Source organism: Homo sapiens, chromosome 19, assembly GCF_000001405.40.
Source record: "Homo sapiens chromosome 19, GRCh38.p14 Primary Assembly".
Taxonomy (NCBI): domain Eukaryota; kingdom Metazoa; phylum Chordata; class Mammalia; order Primates; family Hominidae; genus Homo; species Homo sapiens.
Window position 1 is genome coordinate 33,211,855 of NC_000019.10, and position 27,673 is coordinate 33,239,527.

The 27,673-nt window shown below is 55.3% G+C and overlaps 1 protein-coding gene across 6 annotated transcripts in view, besides 4 other annotated features; it reads right to left on the bottom strand.

The window, feature by feature from the left end:
* SLC7A10 (solute carrier family 7 member 10) overlaps positions 1–13,996 on the bottom strand; it is a 17,187-nt gene extending 3,191 nt beyond the window's left edge. For 4 of the 6 annotated variants that reach the window (XM_006723284.3, NM_019849.3, XM_011527119.2 and 1 more), the window contains exons 1-5: positions 13,699–13,996; positions 3,915–4,119; positions 997–1,148; positions 660–785; positions 438–591 (exon numbers count right to left, since the gene is read on the bottom strand). In XM_006723284.3, coding sequence (XP_006723347.1) covers positions 438–591; positions 660–785; positions 997–1,148; positions 3,915–4,119; positions 13,699–13,849 — 788 coding nt within the window. In that variant the 5' untranslated portion in view covers positions 13,850–13,996. The remainder of the gene's footprint in view (positions 1–437; positions 592–659; positions 786–996; positions 1,149–3,914; positions 4,120–13,698) is intronic. The other 2 variants (XM_024451610.2, XM_011527120.2) reach the window with 1 other exon arrangement.
* Positions 20,929–21,096: a silencer, noted in NCBI's record as "fragment chr19:33723689-33723856 (GRCh37/hg19 assembly coordinates)". NCBI's record gives its function as "represses an EF-1alpha promoter that drives an FKBP-Casp9 reporter gene in an ReSE screen in HepG2 liver carcinoma cells {active_cell/tissue: HepG2}" and the evidence as "EXISTENCE:reporter gene assay evidence [ECO:0000049][PMID:32094911]".
* Positions 22,233–22,402: an enhancer, noted in NCBI's record as "experimental_51216 CRE fragment used in MPRA reporter constructs". NCBI's record gives its function as "activates a minimal promoter by MPRAs in K562 erythroleukemia cells, with activity observed for both the introgressed and non-introgressed 19:33725078 or rs1559182 variant alleles {active_cell/tissue: K562}" and the evidence as "EXISTENCE:reporter gene assay evidence [ECO:0000049][PMID:34662402]".
* Position 22,318: a transcriptional cis regulatory region, noted in NCBI's record as "Neanderthal adaptively introgressed variant 19:33725078 (GRCh37/hg19 assembly coordinates) or rs1559182 in the experimental_51216 CRE". NCBI's record gives its function as "modulates activity of the experimental_51216 enhancer by MPRAs in K562 erythroleukemia cells {active_cell/tissue: K562}" and the evidence as "EXISTENCE:reporter gene assay evidence [ECO:0000049][PMID:34662402]".
* Positions 23,340–23,489: an enhancer, noted in NCBI's record as "active region_14445". NCBI's record gives its function as "activates an Ori minimal core promoter by ATAC-STARR-seq in GM12878 lymphoblastoid cells {active_cell/tissue: GM12878}" and the evidence as "EXISTENCE:reporter gene assay evidence [ECO:0000049][PMID:35858748]".

The window sequence follows — 27,673 nt, forward strand, 5'->3', positions numbered from 1 at the left end:
CAGAGCCCAGTCCACAGACCCAGAGTCTTCCTGGAACTTTCCAGTCCCAGCTCGCTCAGCTGCAAAGGTTTACTGTCGAGATCCCTGGCCGAGCATCAGACGCAGTCATTGGCTTCATTTGTAGGGACCATATTGTGTGTATATGCATAATTTTAGGCCAAATGCAAATCTCTGGATCTATTTACAGCAGGATGATGATATTCAGCCTTTCTGAGGCCCTGCAAGGGGCTGTGACGTGTCCATAGCCAGAGAGAACAGGGCCAGGCTAGAATGCAAGCCCCCCGGCTTTCTTCCCAGGGCCATTTTTGCAGGGCAACAGGCGTGGGCCACCGAGGACCAGCCCGAGCCTTGGGTGGCAGTGGGGCTGGGCGGAGAGGCTGCCTGTCCCACCAGAGGGCCTGGCTGCTTCCCAGGGCCCAGTTGGGGGCCCCACTCACTTTCGGGCGTCAACCATCTCCTCGGTGACATAGTTGAGGAAGTTCCAGCCACTGAAGGCGAAGGAGCCCTGGAGGAAGGCCAGGGCCAGGTGTCCCACGGAGGGCGTCATCCAGAAAGCAAAGGCATTGCTGGGCCTCAGCTCCTCGAAGTGTCCTGGAGGCCCAGAAGTCGGGGGTCAGCACCATCTCCCCAGCCCGGCCCTTACCCCGACTCGGCCCTACCTTGGAAGATCTGGAGAAGGCCCACGCCGATGATGAGGGACAAGGCCAGCAGCTTCCCGCCTGTGAACATGTCCTGGATGCGCGTGGCCCAGCGCACACTGGAGCTGTTCACCCATGTCAGGAGCACTGCGGAGGGAAGGCGGGGGTGGGCGCCGAGGCCGGGACCTTTCACAGTGGACCATGGCCAAGTCCAGCCCAGGCGGCCCGAGAATGGCATCCCCTATAGCAGCTGGAATTTTCTGAAGGGAAATTTCACCCCTCTGTCCTCCTGCTCAGGGCAGGATGGAGCCCGGGCAGGTGGCTGATCTGGGGACAGTGGGCCAAAGGGGATGCTTACTCAGGCAGGCCATGGACAGCACCCGGGAGGCTGTGGTGGGGGGGATGCAGTTGGGGAACACGGGCTGCAGCACGTAGTTGGAGAAGGTCATGGAGATGACAGCAAGGCTGGTGGGGTACATGATGAGGACGGCGCTCCAGAGCAGCAGAAAGCTGGAAGGAGCAGGGGCGGGAGTGGCTCAAGCTGCCCAGAGCCCTTCCCGGCCAACCTGGCCCTGATGTGTGCAGCAGGGCTGCCCTGGGCCTGGCGCCCGGGGGCTGGCGAGGCTGCCAGAGGCCAGCACCGGTCCAGGGAGGCAGGGTTGACCTTGTTGAGGTCTTGCGGCTGCATTGATAGACTGTTTTAACAGAGAAGGTGTTACCCGTACTTAAACATTGACAAGGCTGCTGTGGGGCAGGCGCTGGGAACAACATAGGCACCAAACGCTTTTCTTTTCTTTTTTCTTTTTTTTTTTTTGAGACGGAGTCTTGCTCTGTCACCCAGGCTGGAGTGCAGTGGCATGATCTCGGCTCACTGCAACCTCCACCTCTCGGGTTCATGCCATTCTTCTGCCTCAGTCTCCCAAGTAGCTGGGACTACAGGCGCCTGCCACCATGCCTGGCAAATTTTTTGTATTTTTAGTAGAGACGGAGTTTCACCGTGTTAGCCAGGATGGTCTTGATCTCCTGACCTCGTGATCCACCCGCCTCGGCCTCCCAAAGTGTTGGGATTACAGGCGTGAGCCACTGCGCCCAGTCACCAAATGCTTTTCTAATAACAACTAGGCCCCCCATTGGACGGAGGCTGTCTCCTGAGCCAGGGTCCCTGTCCCCAGACCTCTCGGCTTCAGCCCTGGCTCTCGCAGAGTACTGTGGCTGAAGATGGGTGACTCTGAGCTGTGTTCCCCCTGAGGGAGACCTATGGGGTGCAGAGACTAGACCTTACCAAGAGCCCTAGCTGGGGGTGGAGAGTGATGGATGCCCCTTCTACCTAAATCTTGCCTCTGCAGGGCACCCAGACTGTGAGTCTGACCTGTTCTCAGGGGCTTTCCTGCACCCAGGGGTGGGTCTGCCCTTGGGGGTGGTCCTAGCCCCTGGCCAGCCCTCCAGGGAGAGGACTGCCTCATCGGGGACATCAGCCATCTCTGGATCACCTGCCCCTTGCTCTGCACAACCATCCCTGCTGGGCTTCTGGGACATCCTAGCTCCATGGCCCTCCTCCCCTGCCAGGCATCCCCTCTGCCCATCCCCGCATGTTCCGTGCCCAGGGATGAGGTCCTGGCCCTCTTCTCCCTCCCGAACGTCCTCTCCAGGCCCGAAGCATGATTATTCTGCTTTCTTGGGTCCCAGCCCCTTTGAGGACCCTCTCCCCAGAGGAGACTGCCACAGATGCACCCACAGCAGCGTGCAAGCCCTGGCACGTCTCCCCATCCAAGGCTGCCCAGTTAAGGGTCCCCGGCCCATATCCCTCAGAACCAAACTTTGTAAATTTCAGCCCAGACTTTTCCTCTGAGCCCCAGACCATCTAGGAGCCTCTCAGTAGGGAAGTGGGTGCCACCTCCGCTGCACCCACCTCTCCCTCTGCTATGCTGGCTGCCCTATCCTCTCGAATCAGGCTCCTAAACGATTTTAGAATCTGCCTGTACCTTTGCAGCTCTTGGCACAACGCAGCTGGACAAATACAACAGCTTCAATCCCCTGATGCTCTCCAAGCCCCGGCACCTGCCGTAAACCCAACCTGACCTCACCTCTAGCTACAGCAGACTCCCTGCGCTCACCTGGGCCACCACACCCTCTGTTCACACTTCCCCCATCCTGGGATGCTTTCCTCACTGGTCAGCTAGGCCCGGTGGGGAAAATCTTCTTCCTCCCAGCCTTAGGGCAAGCATTGCTTTCCTGGGAGTCCTCCCTAGATGGCGCACACCGTTCTCTTTGCTGTGTAGCTGCTGCCTCTTGTACACACTCTCAAAGCAAGGCTCATCCAGGCCTTAATCCCATTTAAGGGGCTGCTTCCTCTCTGTTCTGTGAGCAGCTTGAGTACAGGGACAGACCTTTCTATCACTGCCTCCCCACCCCCAGGCTCACGGTAGGTGCTCAGCAAATATTCCCTGGTGAACGAAGGAAGGATAGCAGGGTGCTAAGGAAAGGAGACCTCTGGCTGGGTGCAGTGCCTCACTCCTGTAATCCTAGCACTTGGGAGGCTGAGGCGGGTGGATCACCTGAGGTCAGGAGTTCAAGACCAGCCTGGCCAACATGGTGAAACCCCGTCTCTACTAAAAATACAAAAAAATTAGCCAGGCGTGGTGGCGGGCGCCTATAATCCCAGCTACTCGGGAGTCTGAGGCAGGAGAATCACTTGAACCTGGGAGGCAGAGGTTGCAGTGAGCTGAGATCACGCCATTGCACTCCAGCCTGGGCAACAGAGCGAGACTCTGTCTCAAAAAAAAAAAAAAAAAAAAGGACCTTATGCAGGGTATATGGTAAGAATATCACACTTCCTTCCTTGCTCCTCATGCAACATATGGGTTTACCAAAATTGAGGCCCCTCCTCGCCTGGGCACTCACATTACCTAGGGTTTTCAGACAGTAAGAATCCCCCCTCCTTAAGTACAAGGCAGGGGGTGGGGTTCAGAGGGACCTCTATTTAAAAGGAGATCCAGAGAGGCCCAGGGGCCTGCAGGAGTGCCCAGCACACATCAGTGGGGTGGAGTGGGCCTCAGTTCCACCTGCCCTGTCCTCAGAAGGCTGTCCAGCACCCCCACACCTTCTCTCCATCCAGCCCCCACACCTTCTCTCCATCCACCCCCCACACCTTCTCTCCATCCACCCCCACGACCTCCCTAGGAAGCCGGAAGCAGGAGTGGAAACTGATGCCAGGGCTCATTTGGCCATCCCATTCCCAAGAGGGTGTCCCCCTGCCCGCTGGTGCCCCACACTCACCCAGCCAGGCCCCCGAAGATCTCTGTGACGTAGGCGTAGTCCCCGCCAGACTTGGGGATGGCGACTCCCAGCTCTGCATAGCAGAGGGAGCCCAGAGCCGTCACGCCCCCACCCAGGACCCAGACGAACAGGGCCAGACCCACGGAGCCTGAGTGCTCCAGGACCCCCTTGGGCGAGATGAAGATGCCCGAGCCGATGATGTTCCCTGCAGGGGGAGAGATGGGGAGGCATCAGGCCTGGGGTCCCCTTCGCAGCCCGGCCTTCTGTGTGGGGATCTGCCTGCTGCCAGGAGGAAGACAGCCCGGGGTGCTTCCCGGAGGAGGAGGAGGCAGGAGGTGGGCTGGAGGTGTTGAATGCCACTGGCCCCCAAGCCCAGCAAGTGCCATTCTGGGCTCATCATCTGCCCCTTCCTCAGTCCCTCACATAGGAAATGGCACCTCGTTCAGCTGGCCAGGCCCCTCTGCCAGAGACAGGCCCTGTTTGACTTTCTCAGCCCTCCATTGCCCCCGTGAGGCGGGGCCAGCAAAGTGAGGAGGCTGAACCACCTGAGCGACGGCAGACGGTGGCTCCTCAGGCACCCCACAAGGCCCATGCTCAGCCCTCCCGTCTACCTCAGAGCCCCAGGCATATCAGCATGCAGCCACTTGTCCTGCCTCCATCCAGCCCACTGGCCAGAGCTGGCCCCTAACACAGGACTTCAACCACTCTCCTGCCACTTTCCCACCGGCCAAAGTCCAGACTCATGGAGTGGCTCAGGAAATAGCATCTCCTCCATGAAGCCCTCCTTGACCACATCAGGTTTGGGCTTCTCTTCCTACTTCAATTTCCTTTCCTTTCCTTTCTCCTTTCCTTTCCTTTCTCTTTTCCCCTTCCCTTCCCTTTCCTTCCCTCCGCTTCCTGGATTCAAGCAATTCTCCTGCCTCAGCCTTCCAAGTAGTTAGAATTACAGGCATGAGCCACCACGCCTGGCTAATATTTTTTGTACTTTTTTAGTAGAGATGGGGTTTCACCCTGTGGATCAGGCTGGTCTCGAACTCCTGACTGCAAGTGATCCACCCGCCTCGGCCTCCCAAAGTGCTGGGATTACAGGCATGAGTCACTGTGCCCAGCTTCTTTCTTTCATTTAGACAGGGTCTCGCTCTGCCACCCTGGCTGGAGTGCAGTGGTGCGATCATAGCTTACTGCAGCCTGGGACTCCTGGGCTCAAGAGATTCTCCCACGTCAGTCTCCCTAGTAGCTGGGACTCCAGGTGTATTACCACACCCAGGTTTTTTTTTTTTTTACTTTTTGTAGAGACAGGTTCTCACTATATTGCCTAGGCTGGTCTCCAACTCCTGGGCTCAAGTGACCCTCCCTGCTTGGATTCCCAAAGTGCTAGGATTACAGGTGAGTGCCACCACACCCGGCTAATCAAAAAAAAATTGTAGAGTTGAGGGGTCCCACTATGTTGCTGAGGCTGGTCTCGAACTCCTGGGCTCAATTGACCACCCACTTCGGCCTCCCGAAGTGCTGGGATTACAGGCGAGAGCCACTGTGCCCAGCCCCTCTGCTTTCTGACATGATGGGAAACATTCAGGGGGGCCAACTATGGTCTGTAGAGTAGGTTCCCAGGATGAGCAAGACTCTGAGTGCCTGCTGAGCCCTGAGCTCCGCAAAGAGGGACAATGTTCTGGGTTATATGGGTCTCACCATCTGTGCACATGAATCCGGTAACTTCACCAGAGATCTGCACTAGGGCCTGTCCAAGAAGAAATAAACCCAGAACCTCAGACCATATGAACAAACAGCCCTGGTAGAACCTGTAGGTCCTGGTAGGACCAACATCGTTCTCTATGCAATGGCCACACCAGACCGGGTCCTGAGAGGACGGGTCCATCTCCCTCAGAGCGGGAGCCCGCCTCCTCCACCTGCCGGGCCCGCAGGGGGCTGGATAAGGACACGGTTGTAGCTGCCAATTTGTATTCACTCCTTGTCCACGGTGCTCCCCCACTGCCCCCACCCCCAGCCGACACAGATTTCCAGTCTGGACAGCTACGACGCCCCACTCAGTTTTCCAGTCACATCCCAGGAGCCCTAAATACATCCAGATAAGGACGAACTAATTCCTGTGCCCCAGCCCCCAGAGGTAAGCTGTACCCTTAGTCTACTTCTCGGGGGAGAGAGAGAAGCGCCTCTCTCATCTAGCAGAGGGGCCCAGGCCTGGGTGGGCTGTAAGGTTTCTAAAGAGCCTTTGAGTTCCCTCCATCCGGCAGCAGGGCCTCTGTTCTCAGGACCTGGCGGACTGGGATTTGCCGAAAGCCAGGGAGGTTGGAAGCCAGCGGGGGCTGGGTGGCCTTGGAAGGAGCTGAGCATGTTCACGCTGGGAGCATCCCAGGCCCTGAGCCACCCACCCTGCAGAGAGCCCACCATGCTTCTGCTTGGTGGGGCCTCCTGGGTGGAGCTCCGGGGTAAGCCACATCTGGCACCCTATCTTCCAGGGCTGTATCACTAGCCTTGTGCCCAGTGGCTGAAGACTCAGATACTGGGCTTGCCAGGGGTGGAGAGGCCACTATTGTTTGGAACACGTGGCCTCAGGCCACAGTTCAGGACTTTCTCCCTTGTGGCTCAAAGGACCACAGGCGTTAGCCAGTGTCTCTGAGGTCCTCAGGGGTTTCTCCCTCTGGGCCTAGACCACTCGCAGCATCTCCCTCAGGATCATGTTTGAAGGTGGCAGAAAATCGCATCACGCACTCCGCACACTGGCTGCTCCCGGCACCATGAAGGATGGGTGGGGCACTGCATGGAGCAGCCGGGGCTGCGGGCTTGGGCACGGAGGAGGGAGGGGGCTGTGGACAGGGATGGGGGCCTCCAATGCTCTAATGATTATAGGAGGGGTATGGGAGGGACCGGTGGATTTCTTTCTTTCTTTCTTTCTTTTTTTTTTTTTTTTAGTAGAGATGGGGTTTCACCATGTTGGCCAGGCTGGTCTCGAACTCCTGACCTCAAGTGATCCACCCACCTCAGCCTCCCAAAGTGCTGGGATTACAGGCATGAGCCACCACACCTGGCCAGATTAGTGGAGCTGGAAGGGGGCTGCCCTGGGTTCCTCCCAGTGGTGTGGGAAGGTCGGAGGGTCTCCCTTCCCAGACTCTGTATTTCAGCCAAGCAGATCTACCTGATTCGGGGAGCAGCAATGAAGAAGCCCAGCCGTTGGGGGAACCTGGTTTAGAGGGGCAGGAACTCAGAGTGGAACAGGATGAGGGGGCACGGGATGGGCCTGGAGATACCGCTGAGCCCCTGTTGGGTGTCTGACCCATGGCTGACCAGAGAGATGTAGGTTCTGAGGCCTCCACGTTCCTGTCCACCCGGTGGGATGACAGCTCAGTGGTCCCTGCAGGTCCTCCGTGGGCCAGAGCTCCGGGCAGGTAGGCGAGGAAGTGACTGCCCCCCAAGTCGGCCTTCCCAGAGTCTCCACCACCCGCCCCTCTTCCCTGAGCCTTCGCTGGGTAGCTTTTATCACATTAAGATGTTTGGCCTGATGGGGCTTACTCAGCTTCTTGGAGGAACGAAGAAAGGGCCATTGTTCCCCGTGGCCGCTGCGGTGCATGCTGACCTATTTCTGGAGGCAGCGGCAGACCACTGAGGTCACAGGGGCGGCCCACGGAGGTCGAGTCGCAGAGTGAGCCACCTCCTGTGGTGTGTGGGGAATGTGCAGTCTGATTTGGGGAGGGGGCAGGGAGGGCCTGTCAGGCCAGGACACTGGCACCAGTCCTCATGCCTTGAAGCACATTCTGGACCCGACTGTGTGACTCAGGCCAGTGCTGCCCTTCCGAGCCCCAGTTTCCCCATCTGCCAGGTGGGGCCACTGGGCTAGGGGGCAGCAGAGGGCTAGTCCAACCGTGACTTCAGCAGAGGGGATGCACCCTGCATATCTGTGCTGGGCCAAGGAAACAGTCTGCTCAGGGAACATGTCCCTCACTGTGGCAGGCCTCTGCCCAGCTCACTGGTCTCCCTGAAGCAGCACCACCTCCAGGAAGCTCTTCCTGACCAGCCACCCTGGCCCCTGCAATCTGGACATCGCCCCACGGCCACGGTACCTGGATGATGGCTGGGAAGGGATGCTTTTATTTGATGCAGGCATTCTCTTGATCCCGTCTGGCACATCAGAGGCCATGGGAAGTGCTTTTGGATCTCCCTACGCACTGCCATCTGCCTTGGAGACCCCCTAGGCAGCCCCATCTTTCCTCTGAGACCTGAGCCACCCGGGACCCCAACACCCCGGGGTGATCGGCTGCGGCCTGGGTGAAGCCTACTCGCCTCAAGCGCACGGGTGTCCTCACATCCTCACGGTAAGCCTGTGTCAGGTACCTCTCCGGGATGCTGACTGTGACTACTGAGGTCTGGGCAGCACCCCAAGGAGGTGAGTGGGGACATCCAGGATGTGCCTGGAACTGCCACTTGGCCGGCACCCGACTCCAGCCTAACCCACTTTCCTTTGGAGACAGGAGATGAGCGGAAGTGTGCGGCCCTCTCCGGCTCGTTCGGCTCAGCCAGCCCAGCCAAGCAAACCTCGCCCAGGGCCCTGTCTCCTGGCTGAGGCTTCTCATGGTCACCGGTGAGTTCCACGTTGCCAAACGCAACAGTCGAGCCCTAGGCCACGTTATTGACGCATCAGCAACATGTGGCAAGTGGATTGCTTCCTCCTCACTCGGCCTCCTGGCCTCCCCTCGGCCTTACCGGCTTCTCCTTTTCAGAATCCCTTATCTTGCTTGACTTCCAGACACTGGGTGCCCAGGGCTCAGTCCTGGGGCTTCTTCTCTTTTCTTTCTATGCTTTCTTGATAGATAGATAGACCTCATCTATTACCTTGACTTCTGCTGGCAACTCCTAAATTTATATCCCTAGCATAGACTGCTCTGCTAAATGAAATCTGTATATGCAACGAACCACTCAGCCGCGGACATCACAGACTTTCCGTGTTCAAAACGGAATTCCCGACTTTTACCTCCTTGCCCCCAGAATGCTCCTCTCGATCTTCCCTGATGAATAAATGGCAAAACGTCCTCCCAATTGCTTGGGCCACAACCTTGAGTCACCCATGGTTCCTCTCTTTCTCCCCCAGGACCTCTATTCCATCACAAATCCTTCGGCTCTCATCTTCCAAACTCATCCGGAATGGAACCTCCTCTGACACCACCATGGCCACCGCCCTGCCCTGAGCCACCGTGGTCTCTTGCCCGGGGAGACCCAGGTAGCCTCCTGACCGGCCTTCCTCCTCCCACTTCTTCCCCCACTGCCTCTTCTCCATAGTGGGCCCTGTAAGCCCCATCCCATCATCCCTCTGCTCAAAGCCCAGGGCTCCTGCTTCACAGAGAGCAAAAGGCAATGCCCTTAACATAGCTTGCAATGCCTTGCTCACACTGAACCCCACCCCAGATCTCAGCTCATTTCCAAGCTGCAATCCCCGACCCTGGCTCTCTCCATCCTCCTTCCTGGCTGGACTGTCTGGTCTTAGCACTTAACAATACACACATTCAGCTTGTTCATCTTGTTGCGGGACTCCCACACCAGAAGATGGATTTTGTCTGTCTTGACCCCCCCATGGTGTCTCTGGCATGTAAGCCAGTGCCTGACACCGTTCAGTATGTAGTGGTTGAATAAATGGATGAGTGTGCCCAGGACTGACAGGTCCCCGAAATTATAGTTGGGGCTTCCCTTGGGGTCCTGGAGCACACCGAGGGCATCTGACCCCAGGGCAGGTTGCCTCAGTTTCCTCACCTGTAAATGGAACTGTAGTGGGGAACAGCTAAGCCCCTGCACAGTTGTATGGCTCCTCAGGGCCCCGGTGAGGAGGGGCTGGGGTTCTGCAGAGGTCCACCCCTCTGGGAAGCCCAGCCACCTGCAGCCCTGGAGACCAGGGAGGGTCCTGGCTGAGGCTGGGTGAGCAGGGATTGGTTCCTGAGGAGTTGAGGTTCATGATGTCAACTCCTGAGTCACTGAACACACATCTGGCCCACAAACCCCTGCAGGAGCCGGACTCTCAAGTCAAAGAGAGAGCAGAGGAAGGGCCTGGTCAGCAGACCCAGGGGGGACTCCCACTTTGGAGGATCTGGGTGTGTTCCTTGGGTTGTGGATCCGGCAAGGGAGCTGGCCGAGGTTCCTGGGTCAGTATGAGAGGCCCTGTGAGTCCAGCCGCCGATGGGGAGGCAGACTTCCCTGGCCGTCTGTCTGTTTGTCCACCCATAGTGGAGCAGGAGCTCAGTGAAGCCTAGTTGGACAAGCTCCCAGCTTGGTCCCCAACCCTCCCCCGTCAGGGCTCTGACTCTGGCCCCAATTTGCCCAGCATCAGAACAGTATAAAGGGCACTGGGACCGGGCATGATGGCTCCCGCCTGTAACCCTAACACTCTGGGAGGCTGAGGTGGGAGGATCACTTGAGCCTAGGAATTTGAGATCAGCCTGGGCAACATGGCAAAACCCAGTCTCTACAAAAAATACAAAAATTAGCCAGGTGTGGTGGCGGGCACCTGTGGTTCCAGGTGTTTGGAAGGCTGAGGTGGGAGGATTGCTTGAGCCTGGGAGGTCGAGGCTGCAGTGAGCTATGATCATGCCACTGCACTATAGTTTGTGCTATGGAGCAAGAGTTTGTTTTAATAAAATAAAATATAAAATAAAATATAAAATAAAATAAAATAAAATAAATAAAATAAAATAAAATAAATAAAATAAAATAAAATAAAATAAAATAAAATAGGCACTGGACTGGGAACAGAGCCCAAATCTGGTTCCAAATCCTGAGCCTACCCCTTGGAGCAGTATCATTTCACTTCCAACCTTAGTTTCCACTCTGTAAAATGGGTATAAAAATTCCTACCTTGCAAGGTGGGCATGAGATTCAAATGAGATAAAGGAAGAACATGTTTTCATAAGGCAGTAAGAGGTGTTTTTCTGAACAGATATTGGATGTGATGATGTCCTGCAGAGCCCCTGCCCCAGCCAGTTCTATTTCCTCCAGCCTGGCCGATTCCCTTCCATCTGTGCTTGCAGTGGCCGGCGGGCACTGCCCTAAACACACTATACATGAGTCTCACGCCAGCCCATAGCCCACCCTTCCAGGTCTTCCCATTCTCAAAAGCCTCAATTCCCAGTCTGAGCTGGAGCAGAGGGTATACACGAGGGAGAGAGTGACAGGATCTCCTAGGAGGGTCGCTGTGGAAGTTTTGGAAATAACATGTTCAATAACAATAACAAACCAAGGTAGATTATGAAGCAGGACGTTGGCTGGGCAGGGTGGCTCACACCTGTAATCCCAGCACTTTGGGAGGCCAAGGCAGGCAGATCACTTGAGGTTAGGAGTTCGAGACCAGCCTGGCCAACATGGTGAAACTCTGTCTCTACTGAAAATACAAAAATTAGCTGGACATGGTGGTGTGTGCCTGTAATCCTAGCTACTTGGGAGGCTGACGCAGGAGAATTACTTGAACCCCGGAGGTGGAGGTTGCAATGAGCTGAGATTGTGCCACTGCACTCCAGCCTAGGGGACACAGCCAGACTCTGTCTCAGAAAAAAAAAAAAAAAAAAAGAAAGAAAAAGAAAGGAAAGGAAAGGAAGCAGGACGTCAAGTTCTTGACTTTTAGAGCTAAAATATGACACTTTGCAGACATTTTTGATTCTGACCAGGCTCCCCAGGGTATTGGTGGAGAGAGAGTGAGCCCACCTGGGGCAGAAAGGTGGGGTGGGCTGGGGAGGGGAGACCCTTAGTACATCAGGTGGGGAAGGCAGTGCAGACCCCAGCTCAGTCCTCACCTGCCCAGTCCCCACCTCCTATCACCTTCTGGTTGAGGTTGATCTCCTTGTTTTTTCCTGCCTCGTCCAGCCTCCTGCCTGCTGTAATCCTCAAAGGCTCCCCGGGCCAGGCCAAGATCAAGGCTCCCCAAGACCACCACTGAGTGCCCCGGGCTTGGGTTCTGTAGCTGAATCCAGCATCCTTGGTTAGCTAAGTGGCCCTTCACCCTGGCTCAGTGTTCAAGGTTTGGAGGCCAAGGTAGTGGACCTGGCACAGCAGGAAGGAACTGAAGGGTAGGGGAGCTGTCAGGGCAGACCTGGGCTGCATGGGAAACTTACAGAGTCTGTCCTGGAAAAGGAGGGTGATAGTGGAGTTGGCCTTCTCCACTCCCACCACCACCACCTCTACCATCACCACCACCACCACCACCACCACCACCACCACCACCACCACCACCAGGGCCCCTTTCTGGGGAGAAAGGAGCCAGGCAGCCTCCCTGTGGCCTGGGGAGGATGGGATGTGGGGAGGGGATAGAGTAGGAAGACAGGTCAAGGATGCTGGGCTTAGCTGAGGAGCCCAGGCAGAGCTGTGTCTTTCTGCACCTGCCTGGCACTGTAGCTGGTTCTAGGCATGGTCTCAATCCTATGACCCACTCATGGTGTGAGCTTCCCCTTCCCTGGAGGACAGTTCCTGGAGAGGGTGTGGGCCAAGAAAAAGCTCTAACCAGCACCCTGGCCAAATCCCTGGAACCAGCCCTTCCTTCCAGCAGACCGTCCATCAGGCAGGGGCATCCTAGGCCAAGAAGCTCCCAGGGCCAGGTCAGGACCAGGCTCTGGGAGACAGCATTCTAAGGGGAGGGGGTGAGATGGCGGAGTGACCTGGCCAGGGGCTGTGTTCAGGGGCAACTCTGGATGTGAAGAGCTGCTAATGTGGGGGTGGGAGAGGACGAGGTGAAGACCCTGGGTCTGCCCTACTGAGCCCCCAAACTTTCTCCATCTCCAGGGGTCTGAGGGTGGGAAGGCAGTGAAGACACAAGTGGCTCTCACTGGCAGGGGACCGGGAAGACTGGCTGGCGGTAAGGTGAGAACAGTCGAGGCCCCAGTCACTCACCCCCCAAACCACTTCTCCTGTCCCTCCCTGGAGGGGCTCAGAGGCACTCTGTGTAGACAAAGAAACAAGTCAGTATCCATGACTTGGGACAGAGAGTGGAAAAATACCACTGCCATTCCCATGACCTCTGAGCTCTCTGCCTGCCCAGAAACCCCTATGTGGGGGCAGGACATGGACCCATTCTCAGGTGGGGACTTTGGAGTCCAGGGCCTCCAGACCAGGCGAGTGTCCAGTGCCCACCAGGATCCCAGCTCAGGGAGCAGCTGGCCTTCTGCAGGCTGGGTCTGCCCACTGCTGCCCCCAATTGCTGGCTAACCCGCCCCCTCTCCTGGGTCCTGCTGCCAAACCCTGCAGTCATTGCCTGCTCTGAACCTCCGTCCCTTCTGCGCAGGCTGCGCTTGCTCACTCTGCTCATAGGCCCTCCTGCTTTCCAAGAATAAAGTCACTGCACTGCGTGGCACCTGGACCCTGCACACAGTAGGTACTCAGACTGACCCACAGTACAGAACTTGGGGAGCTCAGCCTGCCGCAGCCTGACCAGCCCCTACACTGGTCAAGTTCCTGCGCTAATCGCAGGACTGCAGTCATGGCCATTTCACAGATGAGGAAACTGAGGGTAACTGCCTTGCAAAAGCCCCGCAGCAAAATCGAGTCAGGAGGAAGAGTCCAGCGGTGGAGGGGACCCAAAACTCCCCCAGGTGCAGGCGGCCGGGAGGTGGGAACACGGAGCTTTGGCACCCTGGGCCAGCAGCCCCTGACCTCCCCGCGGTCATAGCGCTCTCTGAGGCCAGACTGCAGGTTCCCCAGGCAGACCCGTCCGAGCGCCCGGAGAGGGGACGCCCCTCGTTCGGAGCGGCTGCGCCCCTCATTCGGCCTCCGCCCGGCGCCCGCCCGCCTGGGTCCCGCTCACCGATGATGATGGTGCAGGCGCTCAGCAGCCCGATCTCCTTCTTGAGCGCCACCCGCTCCGAGGCGCCGGGGACGGTCCCTGGGACTGGGGAGGGCGAGGGCGCAGGCCTGGGGTTCCCGCGCCCGCTCGGCTGCTGCGTGTGGCCGGCCATGTCGCTGTCCCGCCGCGTCCCCGCTCCCTGCGCTGCCCCGTCTGTCCGGCCGGCCGCCCGTCGGTCCGTCGGTCCGTGAGCTCACGGCCCTCGCAGCCGGGACAGCGCCCACAGGCGGGCGCATGCGCTGGCTCCGGGCCCGGGACTGGGGGCCCCGGGCGGCGGGGGCCCGGGAGGGGCGGAAGGAGGGCCGGCCCACAGCCCCCTCCCCCACCTCCCTTAAAGGGAACGCCCCCTCCCCCAGTCCCGGCCTGGGAAGGAAGGAGAGGACTTGGGGCAGATCTAGGAAGGACTTCCCAGTTGGGCGAAGGAAGGGACCCTCCAGTTGCCTGAGTTACATCCATTCTTGGGGCCGGGTTGGGGAGCAGAGCTCCGAGACAAGACAATCCCTGCTCTCAGGGAGGCCGAGGGGGACGGCAAGAATAACAGCTGGCCGCGTGTGGGGATGCAGTGTGTGCTCCCTTTAGTACTCTATGCCTGCACGATGTGTGTGTGTGTGTGTGTGTGTGTGTGTGTGTGTGTGTGTGTGTAGGAGACAGCTCCCAGGGTGAGTCCATTCTACAGGTGGAAGTTGAAGCCCAGAGATCAGTAGCGATCGCCGAGCAAGTGCAGGGCTGAGACCAAACCCTTTCTCGTGCCTCCTGAGGCTCCCAGGCGGACAACCTCAGGAGGGGTGGGGGTTGAGGTCTGGAACTCCTCTGAGGGGTCTGGGTGTCCTATGCACCCTGGATCAAAGGCCTGAGGGTCGAGGTGAAGATCCCGGGGGCTCTCATCCTCATCACGGGGACCCAAGACCTGTGACGAGTCCTGGACACGGCTCGCCCACCCTACCAGGCTCTGGGCCACCTCTGGCCTGAGATCTTCACTACAGGCTCCTCGTCCCAGGTCAGAGTGAGGGCTCAGCGGACTAGAACTCGGGTCTCTGGTGCAGGTCCCGCGCGATCCAGCCCGGCTCAAGAAGGCCAGGCGACCTGGAATGCCCGGGAGACACGGAGAAGGAGGCTGTGGTCGCGGGAGAGGGTCGGGAGTGCGGGGATCCGAGGGAGGCTGCCTCCTCCCGGAAGCCGTCCGGACTGTGCAGCCGAGGCCGGCGGAAAAGATCCAGGGGGGCCGCGTCGGGGCCACCGGGGCGGCGGGCGGGGCGAGCCTGGCACTGTGCGGCCGGCGGCGGAACAGCCTTTGTTTCTTCCTGGCGGCCGCCGCGACGCGCCGTCCCCTGCATGTGGATGAGGCCTCGCCGGGCGCCCCGTCCTTCCCCCCAGTGGCGGCCTCCGGGTTTGCTGGGGCCCTGCCAGGGGTCCGACGGCTGCAGGGTGGACCGGGGTGGGACGGGGCGGGGGCGGGTCCCTGGCAGGGGCGGGTCCCTGGCAGCGGCAGGGCCTGGAGGTGGGAGCGGGGCGGGGCCGGCGTTTGCAGGCACACAGGAGCTTCGAAGTTGGGGGCGGGGACTTGGGGTAGGAGTAGGAGCGGGAGGATCCAGGGTGGACGTGCTGGTGGGACGCCGAGGGGGAGGCCACCCGGCGAAGCTGCATCCCTCTCGCTTCTGTCGTCGGAGACCGGCATTCTTGGCGCCCTCCACCTCCAGCCCCAGAGACCATTCAGAGGCCGACTCTCTTAAAGGAGCCTCGCGCAGGGTAGGGGCAGCCCTGGCTCCGGAGACCCCTGATTGTCGCGGGTGTTAGGGGCCAGAGGCCTCGACCTTCTGGTTTGACTCTCCCCAGCCCCCCAGTTGCCCTCGCAATTCTAGGGTCTGCTGGGAGAGGGTCTAGCCAGGGCTGGTGCAATCAGGGGCAGCTTGCCAAGGGGCAGGGGCTGGCGCAAGCCTCGCAGCTCTGAAGCCTGTGGTTTTCGAGGGTGTCTCTCTGGGACCTGGAATGTGGAGTATGCGTTTGTGGGGGAAAGGTCGGCCTAGGGCTTTGCACAGGATGGAGTTTGTATGTTGTCAGCCAGGCCCCATAGCTCAGGAGGTCCTTTTCGTGGAATTGAACTAGAACCTGCAAATTTCAATGGGAACAAAAGGTTAGTAGGATTGGTTTACCATCCAAAAACCAATCAGCATGATTCTCCACATTAATAGAGAGAAAAAAGGAAAACCTCAACAGATGCAAAAAACAGTCATCCGTGATGTAAACAAACAACTCTTAGCAAATAGAAACAGAAGAGAACCTCCTTAATCTGATAAAAGTATCTACCTAAAAACAAATCTCCAAGAAACCAAGAAACAAACAAAAACCCTACAGCTGACATCATGTTTAGTGGTGAAAGTGTGAATGCTTTTCTACTGAGATTGAAAATGAGAAGGGATGTTGGCACTTGTCAATATTCTATACAATAGTGTACTGGAGGTCCTAGCCAGAGCAATAAGACAAGAAAAATAAGTAAAAAGGTATGAAGATAGTAAAGGGAAAGATAAAGCTGCCATTCACATATGATGTGATTCAGTATGTAGAAAAAAAATTACAGGTTAATTTAAGGAAGATAAGTTCATTTAGCAAAGTCGCTAGACAGAAGTTTAATATACAGAAACTAATTGTATTCTATATACTAGAAATAATTAGAAAATGAAATTAATAATAGCATAAAATCAAATACCTAAAAATAATTCTAGTGAATGATGTGTACAATTTTTATGCAAGAAACTACAAAACATTTCTGAGAGAAATTGTTAAAGACATAAGCTAATGGAGGGATATACCATGTTCATGGATTGGAATTTAAAATGTTGGTCTCCACATTGATTTATAGAATTGATAAATACATCCAATGTAATTTTGATCAAAGCACCAGACAACTTTGTTGTTGATTACAAGGCTTTTTTGGAGGGATGAAACTCAACAAGCTGATTCTAAAGAGTATGTGAAGAAGAACAAATCTGGAGGACTTATACTACAGTAAGGAAGACAGTGTGGCATTGATGCAAAGATAAACAAATCTACTGGTGGAAGAAAACAGAAATCCAGAAACAGACCCATCCTGGTTTATTATGACAAAGTTGATATTGCAGAACAGTGGAGAAAGGACGGGCTTTTCAATAAGTGGTGGTGGATCTATATATTGAAGAAAAAAACCAAAACCCTTTTAATGTCACCCTTCCATTATACCCTAAAACCAGTCCCAGGTGATGTACATGTGAAATGTACGTGTGAAAGGTGAAACATCAAAGCTGCTAGAAGAAAACTCAGGGGAGAGAATAGATACATTTTCTTAAACAGACATAAGAAACACAGTAAGAAAGTGACAGATTGGACTACATTAAGATTAGAAACTTCTGTCAGTCAAAAGACATGATTAAAGAGGAAAGAGTAAGCCACATATGAGAGAAGTTATTTCCATACATATGGCCGATAAAGGACTTCTATCTAAAAATATAAGCATATGAGTTGTATTGAAAAATATGTATCAAATCAATAGGAAAAAGTTTTAAAATAGGCCGGGCATGGTGGTTCATGCCTGTAACCCCAGCACTTGGGAAGGGCAAGGCAGGTGAATCACTTGAGGTCAGGAGTTCGAGACCAGCCTGGCCAACATGGTGAAACCCTGTCTCTACTAAAAATGCAGAGATTGGCCGGGGGTGGTGGTGAGTGCCTGTGGTCCCAGCTAGTCAGGAGGCCGAGGCAGGAGAATCGCTTGAACCTGCGAGGCGGAGGTTGAAGTGAGCTGAGATCATGCCACTGCACTCTAGCCTGGGCAACAGAGCGAGACTCCATCTCAAAAAAAAAAAAAAAAAAAAAAAAAACAAAGGACTTTAAATAGGTGCTTCCCAAAAGAGGATGTCCAATGACTGTTAAACTCCTGAACAGGCACTCAAACCTCATGGGCCATCAGGGAAATGCAAATTAAAACGAGAATAAGATACCACTGAGTAGCCACCAAAATGGTGAAAATTACACACCCAATGTTGGCAAGGATGTGGAGTTGGTACCACCAGTTTGGAAAACCATTTGGCAGTACCTCCAAATCCAGCATCTCCACTCTGTATTAGATGCCTCTTGGATATCACGCCACCTCCCCAGCCCCTAGCCTCACCTTGGTGTCAAGGCTTTGCCACCTTTCCTCCCACTTCAGGTGCAGGTACAACCTGCCAGCACCCCCCATCACCCTCAGGGATTCTCTGATGCCCCTGAGGAATGAGATAATAAGGGACCAATCTGGCACCCACAAACTTGCAATCAGAAATGCAGGAGAGTTAGCACACTCGGGCCTATCCTTGTGTTACTGAATGGTGCCACACAGTTCCAGGATCTGGGCGACTTGAACAAAGAATTGGAAGAGACATATACAGATAGCAAAAAGTGTATTAAGTGCAGTATTCCACTCTTGGAGAGGAAGAGTGGACTGATCTTTGTGAGATGAGATCGGCATTAGTTTGGTGTACTTTGGGTCTTTCTATATGTTGTTTTTTTCCCCCTCTTCCCAAGGCTGCCTAATCTCTAGCCAGTGTCTATCTTTTTGATTGACAGGTGTGTTGCTTAGTTACTTTGGCCCCCGTGCGCTTGCACCTTGCCTCCATCCCATAATCCTAAGTACATACATGATATGCAGCTCATATGCATGAACCTTAAGTAGCTGATTATCATAACGGGGTTATGTTAAGGATACCTTTTCTCTCCAATGCACATGCCCATCTCTGAAGCGCAGCCCCTTACTGGTTTGGTCAGGATCCTGCCGGCCATGGGATACTGCTCGCTTTTTTTTTTTTTTTTGAGACGGAGTCTCACTCTTGTCATCCAGGCTGGAGTGCGGTAGCGCAATCTCGGTGGCTCACTGCAACCTCTGCCTCCCGGTTCAAGCAATTTTCCTGCCTCAGCCTCCTGAGTAGCTGGTAATTAGAGGCGCCCACCACCACGCCCGGCTAATTTTTGTATTTTTAGTAGACAGTGGGTTTCACCATGTTGGCCAGGCTGGTCTTGAACCCCTGACCTCAGGTAATCCTCCCGCTTCAGCCTCCCAAAGTGCTGGGATTACAGGCATGAGCCACGGCACCCGGCCCTGCTCACTTTTTTATCTTACTTTTGTTTTGGCTGCTGAACCTCTGCTTTTTGTCTGGCTTCTTGCTCACCTGCCCCTTCACCTTGCTTCTTCTGCTCTCTGCTTTTACTTATTCTGCCCTTTATCCAACTTTCAATTCCCTTTGCTACTTTCCTGCCTCATTTTCCCTGTTCTCCTATCTCACTTGGACAATGGCAGATGGATAAATGGCAGATGGGAGTCAGTGGATAAATTCTTCCCTCTACCTCATCCCAGATGGACCCTTATGAATCATATTCCTTATAAAAACCTCTTGGAAGATGTTACTACAAGATTCAGCATCAGCTGCCTTTGGCACCAAGTGGTGGCCAACTCTGAAACTCACCCTCATATTGGCTCTCATGCCATCCCTGTTCACTTCCTTTCCCCCTTACTCTTGCTTCCCTGCAATTGCATCCCCCAGTTAAGTTCTACCTAAGGCCAGGCACCCTGGCTCATGCCTGTAATCCCAGTACCTTGGGAGGTTGATGGGGGAGAATCGTTTGAGGCCAGGAGTTTGAGACCAGCCTGGGGAACATAGTGAGACCCCATCTCTGCAAAGAATTTAAAAATTAGCTGGGCGTGGTAGTGCATGCTTGTAGTCCCAGCTGCTCAGGAGGCTGAGGTAGGAGGATCCTTTGAGCCCAGAAGTTTGAGGCTGCAGTGATGAGCTATGATGGTACCACTGTAGTCCAGCCTGGATGACAGAGCCAGATCCTATCTCTAAAAACACAAAACGAAACAGAAGTACCTTCTAAGCTTTTGCCCCAGGCACTGCTTTCTGGAGAGGACGAACTAAGATACACCCCTAGGTATGTCTCCAACAGAAATAAATATATAAATGTACTAAAAGGCATTTACGATATCATTCATAGCAGTCTTCCTAGTAGCCCCAAACTGGAAACAACCCAGATAGCCATTAACAGTAGAATGGATGAACATGTTTAGAGTACATGTAAATTCCGGAGTTCTGTGCTACAAAGGAAATGAACAAATTACTACTATGTTGCAACATGGTGAATCTCATAAACAATGTTGAGCAACAGAAGCTGGACACAAGATTACATTTTGGGATGATTCCATTAATTTTTTTTAAGAGACGGAGACTCTGTCGCCCAGGCTGGAGTGCAATGGCACCATCGTAGTTCACTGCAGCCTCCAACATCTGGGCTCAAGTGATCCTCCCATCTCAGCCTCCTGAGCAGCTACAGCTACAGGCATGCACCCCCACGCCTGACTAATTTTTAAAATTTTTTTGTAGAGACAGGGTCTGGCTCTGTTGCCCAGGCTGGTCTTGAATTCTTGGGCTCAAGAGATCCAGTTCTGGGATGATTGCATTTATAGTTCTAGAATAGGCAAAATGAATGCTGATGTTAGAAGTCAAGATAGAGGTTTATCCTTACCTTCTTGGGGGTAGGAACTGGGCAGCAATTTGGGGATAGGAACTGAGGAGGGGCCCTGGAGTGCAGATCATGTCTGACTTATTGATCGGGGTGCTGGTTTCACGAGTATGTTCAGTTTATGAAAATTCATTAAGGGGAACACTAGATGATTGGTGCATGTTTGTGTGTGTAGGTTACACTCTGACAAACATGGGACATTACACATGGCCTGGGCAGGGTCCTGGGAGGGTCAGGATCTGCATGCTGGGAGGGGGTCTGCGGCCTGCTCTGACTCCCTCGTGGGTGTTAAACTCACTCAGCACTCCTACGCCACTTCCATTCTCTTTGACACTCCCACGTCCAGCCCAGGTATCTCCTCAGGCAGCCCCAGTCTTTCCTTGGTTTCTACCATCCTGACCCCAAACCACTCCCTCTCCAAGCTGCAAGCACCTGCTAGTTTATGGCCTCCTTTCTGCTTCTGTCTCATGGATTCTCAGCCCTGGACATTGTTTCTGTCGTGCTTGCCTCCTTCTCTCTCCCCACCTTCTCTGGCCTTGCCCTGCATTTCCTGCCTCCTCTCTGCACCCTCCCTGGACCTCCCCAACAACAACCATGTTCAACCCTTGCACTGGTGGGCCAAGGGCGCAAACACACATGCAAGCCCCTCACCCGGGAGGCCTACATATTTCCAAGTTAGAGATGAAACTGCACCCACGATGCAGCCCTCATTCACACCCGGCCCTGCAGCCCGCCCCTGGGGCGTGGTCTCCCCTGGTTCTCATGGCCGTCATCCACTGGGGTGGGAGCTAAGACAGTGCCCGAGAACCCTGGGTGTGAGCACGCTCCTGACTGGGGGCTGGCCTGGGCACCCTTTCGCCACCTCGCTTTTCCAACCTGGCATTTCCAGGGCATTCTAATCTCCTCCCCAAAATCTCACCAAGGAGCAGGACAGGGAAGGAGCGCAGACAGGTACCAGGACACCAGGCTGCCCAGACACACACACACACAACCACACACAACTACGTACAACCACACACAACCACACACTCACACACATGCACAGCCATACACTTACACACCCACATGCATGACCACATACACACTCTCACACACTCACATGCACCCAACCACACACTCATATCTCACACACTGTCTTACACGAACAACCACACACTCGCTCTCACATGCACACAACCACACACTATCACACACACGTGCAACCGCATACTCTCACACACTCACACGTACACAACCACACACACATGCACAACCACACATTCTCACTGACATGCACACACCCACACACTCATACCTCACACACTCTCACACGCTGACATGCACAACCACACATACATAATCACAGACACAGTCTCACACACTCACATGCACACAATTACATACAACCACACACACAACCACACACTCACACACCTGCACAACCACATTCACTCACATACCCAGATGCATGACCACATATACACTCACTGTCACACACATGCACACAACCACACACTACATACAACCACATACAACCCCACACACTCCTAAACACTCATGCTCACAACCACACACTCAACCACACACACAACCATATGCACTCAACCACACAGAACCACCTACACGGCCACTCATATTCACTCTCACACAGTGACATACACACAACCACACACAACTACACACTCACAACCACACACACAACTGCATACTCACACACTCTCACACACTCATACACACAACCACACACACAACCGCACATTCACAACTACACACAACCATACAGAACCTCTCACACCACCACACATTTGCAATCACACACAACCACTCACACACTCATCCACACACGCACTCAACACTCAGCCCCACATCTTTGGGCCTGTGGGGTCTTTTTTTCGCATCTGTCCTCTCCGACAACTCACTGTTGTTCAGTTATCAACCTTTAAAACACTCTTACGAGACTGAAATTAAAAAAAAAATTCTTTGCATTTGCTGCTGGTGACGTCCTGGCTCTCCAGGGCACGGGGTCCACAGCAGAGACCCCCTTGCCCAGGTCTAAGGTTGGCCTGGCCTGCATAGCTGGTGGGGCTTCTAGAATGACCACAGGGTGTTGTTCCCTGTAATTTTCAGGCTGTGACATCCCACCCAGCCCCAACCCATCCCTCCTGTGAGTGGGGTCGGGATCCCAGTTGCCACGCCCAGAGCTCCGACCACCCCACCTGGGCCTTTCACCACCTCCCCACTCCCCCGTGCACTGCACCCCCACCCTGTCCTGGGGGCTGAAACAGCTCCTCCCCAACCCAGGGCTGCTGCTCCGAGGTACAAATGGAACCCTCCCTGTCTCGGATCCTCTTCTTTCAGCGCAGCCACAGGCTGTGAATGACCCCACAGGCAGGTGTCAGGAGGGAGATCATTTAATTCATGGTCCAAACTGAGACAGGTTTGCAAGTGAAAGGAGGCACTATTTATAATCACAGCAGAGTACAACTGACAGATATAAACCAGGACGTCCCAGCAAACTGGATGGATGGTCACTCTCTTTCAAGCCAATAACTCCGACTCTGTGTGCCCAAATACAGCAGGCATTGGTCACACCTTGCCTGCTCCTGCTGCCTCCTTGGCCGTAACTTGTCACACCTTGCCTGCTCCTGCTGCCTCCTTGGCCGTACCTTGTCACACCTTCATGCTTGTCCCTCATGAGTCAGGCCAGGCATCACCTTGGCCAGGAAGCCTCCTGGTCCCCAGAATGGAAGACGTGCCCATTCTGTGTCCACATTGCCACCTCCCCAGGCTCAAAGGCAGAGACCTGGCCTTGCCCCCAGCACATCACAGGTTCTCCATGGAGGTTCCAAGTGTCTGCCTCACGAGCTGCGAGATGCAGGTTCTGGTCCCGGCTCTGCCATTGACTTACAGACTGGACATGGAGCGTCTCAGTTTTTCCCTGTGAGGTGGAGAGGAAAAGGGCAGCATGTGATCCCTCGCTGCCCACAGCTGTTGGACGGGCAGTTTGCCTGAACTCGCCTTTCTTGCTCCCCAGGTCCTGGGGTCCTAAAAGGGGCATGGAGGAGGGGGTGACCTGTCAGGGAGGCCAGGTTTCTTGTATCTTCCTATTATCCCATGTCCTCCCCTGAAGCCACTGCATTCACGGCCCTGTGCAGCCCAGTAGGGAACACGAGAAGGTAGGGCTTGGACTTCTGATCTGGAACCGGGATCTCCTCTCCTTCCAGGGGTTCCCAGCCCTGCATCCTGTGGGGCCAGCCTCCGGGACCAGGGTACCCTCTCCGTGGGACCTTTACCCATATCCTTCCATTTAAGGACACCCGCCATTCCAAAACGTGCCACCAGAGGGCAGCCTCCGCGTTGGTCCTTGAGACCAGGTGCCTGAGCTGGACCTAGTGGCCTGACTCTCCCGATGTCAGAGTCCGGGCCTCTGCTGGATCTTGTATTAGAGGGCTGGGGAGAACAGGCTAGGATTCCTGGGCTTCTCCGGGGACCACTAGAGTCAGCTGGGAGCCAGGGAAGTCCTTCCTGAGAGCGGCTCAGGCTCTTTTCTGCTGTAGCCCGAGAGAAGAGATGCAGGGGAGGCCCCAGGGACTGTGGGTGCTGGCCTGGGTCAGGACATTCATAGTGAAACCAGAGAGATCTTGCAGTGAGATTCATTTCGTGCAGCGCACCTGCCTCGGGGCAGGGCTGGGAGGCACGGGGAGGCGATAGAGCCCATGTGGTGGCGGTGGCTGCGGGAGGGACCGGCGCTTATCTGATGGGCCTGGCCTTTCTCACAGCTCGGTGGAGCCGCCCTGCCAGGCCCATCTTGGCCGGTGGGTCGGGGCTCCGCAGGCCCCGTGGGCTCAGCCTCCCCACCTGCCTGGTGGGCAGGGAGGCCTTGAGCCTGGGAAAGGCGCGGGCGGCCACTGCTGGAGGGGAGCGGGCACCGTGGGGCTGCGCGCTGCGGCGGGCTCCCCCCACAGGCTCCAAGACACGTCAAAACCGGGTACAAAAAATTGGGGCAATCTACGTGTTTACTTCTAACAAATGAATGCTTGTAACGTAAAAACAAGACTTTGCACACCACCGGGGCTGTTCGGATCCGAGAACGCATGGGTTCACGGGACCCTGTGGGTGGAGGCCCAGCTGGATGTGGCCCCTGGGTGGCGGCATCCTCAGCTCTGCCGGTGGCTGGGGGACTGTGCGTGGAAGGTCGGTGAGGGACCCCAGAAAAAAGTCTAACAGCCAAAGGCGGAGGTTGCAGTGAGCTGAGATTGTACCACTGCACTGTAGCCCTGACGACAGAGGGAGACTCCATCTCAAAAGAAAAACAACATTTTTGGTTTTGTTTTTTTTTTTGCTCATTAGCTATCGTTAGTGTTAGTGTATTTTATGTGTGGCCCAAGACAATTCTTCTTCCAATGTGGTCCAGGGAAGCCAGAAGATTAGGCCCCCTTGGTCTAAGGCAAAGCAGTCTCAGGGTCAGAAGACCTCCACCCCAGCTCGGGCCTGGGTGACCCTCCCTGCAGAGTGCCTCTCTGAGAGCAGGGTACCAGCCACTTGCAGGGGACTGAGCTATCTGCTGGAGGAGGGTTCAAAACTGGCCCCCAGTCCTGTGCTTATGTGAGTCACCAGTGGGCTACCCAGCGCCACCACTCAGGCCCTGCAGACGGATGTCTGTGGAAGCACTTTCACAGCGACATGTCACAGGGATGGAGAACTGTGGATGAGGACTCTCCAGGCTGACCAGCCGGCTCTGCCCTGACCATGGGTTGGGACCCCAATCAACCTAGCTGGGGCTGGGCCCTGCCAGAAGGGGCGCACTAGCCTGGCCTGACCATGGGATGGAAATGGGACATTGTCTGGGGGAGAGGGGAGTGGGGCCAGCCCTATGTTATCTCCCCTTTTCAAAGAAGGAAAAACCCGGCACAGAGAGAGGGAATCATCGGCCCAAGGCCTCACATCTGGTAAGCGGGGAGCTGGAGTAACCAGACCCTGAATCCTGGGGGTCTGGTAACCGTGATCCTGGGAGGCTTGGCCACGTGGTCCTGGGGCTTCCTGGCCCCCTCCTGGCCTGAGGCACTCATCCCAGCCCCGTTGATTTGATGGGCAGAGACCCAGACCTGCCAATGGCTGGGTGTGGCCAGCCTCGTGAACTGAGCGGGGCCCGGTGGCTTCTGCCCAGAGCTGCCTTTGATCTCAAAAGTAGGCTACCCCCATAGGTGAGACCCGATGTGGGCGCTGCTGTGCTAACCCCATGCCCCAGGACCACTGAAACCTCTCTTGAGCCTCCCTGGACCAAACTACCTGGTTGCTCTCAGTCCCTTCCACAGCCCCTCGTCCTCCACCTGCCCCTGCAGTGCCCTGGGGCTCCCTCCAGCGCTCCCATCTCCTCACTTTTTGGTTTTTTTTTTTGAGATAGAGTCTCACTGTCTTGCCCAGGCGGGAGTGCAGTGGTGGGATTTTGGCTCACTGCAACCTCCGCCTCCCGGGTTCAAGCGATTCTCCTGCCTCAGCCTCCTGAGTAGCTGGGATTACAGGCATGCAGAACCACGCCTGGCTAATTTTTGTATTTTTAGTACAGATGGGGTTTCACCATGTTGGCCAGGCTGGTCTCGAACTACTGACCTCAAATGATCCTCCCCGCCTCGGCCTCCCAAAGTGCTGGGATTATAGGCATGAGCCACTGTGCCTGGCCTCCCTCACTCTTGACACTTTATGGGCCTGCCATCTTCACTCCTTGCTGCCCACACCCAGATGTTCCTCCTGGCCTCAGACCTTTGCACCCGGCCTCGCTCAAGCTGAGGGTCCAGACATTGATCTTCCTTCACTCCCAGGTCTCACCTCCCTTCCCTTAGCCATGGGACATCCTCCTTCTGCAGACAAGAACCCTGGGGTGGTCCTCCCTATCCCCTGCCCCCCGTGAGCATCTAAACCTGGTTCATCTAACCAGACTCCTTCTCCTGCTGTAAAGAATCTTATTGTATCTCCTTACCACCCCAAAGTAAAATTCATAGATCATAGAATCCCAGCCAGACTTTCAAAATCCATCTAATGTCGTAGCTTTAAAATAAGGAAGAAATAGGCCAGGCACAGTGGCTCATGCTGTAGTCCCAGCACTTTGGGAGGCTGAGGAGGATCACACGAGGCCAGGAGTTCAAGGCTGCGGTGAGCCACGACTGCGCCACTGCACTCCAGCTGGGGTGACAGAGCAAGACCCTGTCTCTAAAAACAATAAATAAATAAAATAAGGAAGAAATAAAAGGAAAGTAATTTATAATTTCATTATGTATATTCAACTGGAAAGAGGCCTGGGTGTGACCTACAGTGGACTCAGATGTGGGTTGCACAGAATGGCAGAGGCTGTCACTGCTGCAGACACAGACGGGAGCAGGGTTACCCTCAGGGCTCAGGTGCCTGCTGGGGCCACCCTGTGATCTTGGGGATGTGTTTCTCCAAAATGGCAAATGCTTCTTGGTAAATTTCCAAACAAAACAAAGCTCCATCTCCCCTCAGCTTTCATGCTCATTGCATCCCTAGAAATTGTGCATCTGGAAAAGACGCCGAACAGAAGTAGTCATTCCCGATAGGGTCATTACCGATAGGGTTTATTAGCAATCCTACATCAGAGTTCCTCATGCCCCGCGCTGTGGATATGTTGAGCAGAATAACTGCTGTGCAGTGGGGTATGCTCGGCAGCAGCCCTGGCCTCTACCCTCTAAATGCCAGCAGTACCCCTAGGTCATGACAATCAGAAGTGGCTCCAGACACTGAGAAATGTCCCCTGAGGGGCAAAATTGTTCCCAGTTGGCGCCCCATCCCCACCTCCTGCCCACACAGAACTCCCTCCTCTCTTGTGTGGGGTGCGGGGCAACTTGCCACCAGGCGGGATGCCCCTCACACAGCAGGTCCCTGCCACCCCATGACTACAGCACCCCATTACTGCAGCCAGTGAACCCCCTCACACTTCTAAACTACCCCAGGGGAGAAGCAAAACCACTGTTGTGGGCCTCTGACCTCCCTGATTCTCTAATCTGGGTGGGTGTGGGGGCAGTGATGCCAAGAAGCTCCTTCCCTTCCCAGCACACACTGCAAGATCTGCGGTCCTCATTTCTCCCAGGCCTGGCTACTCTGTAACAGCTGCATCCTTACTGGCCCTGTGGGGACATGGGACGTGTCCCTGCCGTGGCTCCCAGCGGCCCCGGTGTGCTGGGCCTTTCTGCCTCCCTTAATTCCACCTTCCCTGTTCCAGCTGCTTGGAATGTCCTCAGTGCTTTTCCTCTGCAGTTACCCTGGAATTCCAGGGGAGTGCTTGGGTTGGTGGAACCTTCTTAGCCCAGGTATCCTCCTCCTCCAGGGAGCCCTCCGGAAATGTCCCTCCCTTGATAGGCTGGGGCCAGCACTCCCTCCCCGGCTTCTTTAGCCCATGGGAGGCAGCATCCACTCATTGTGTTCC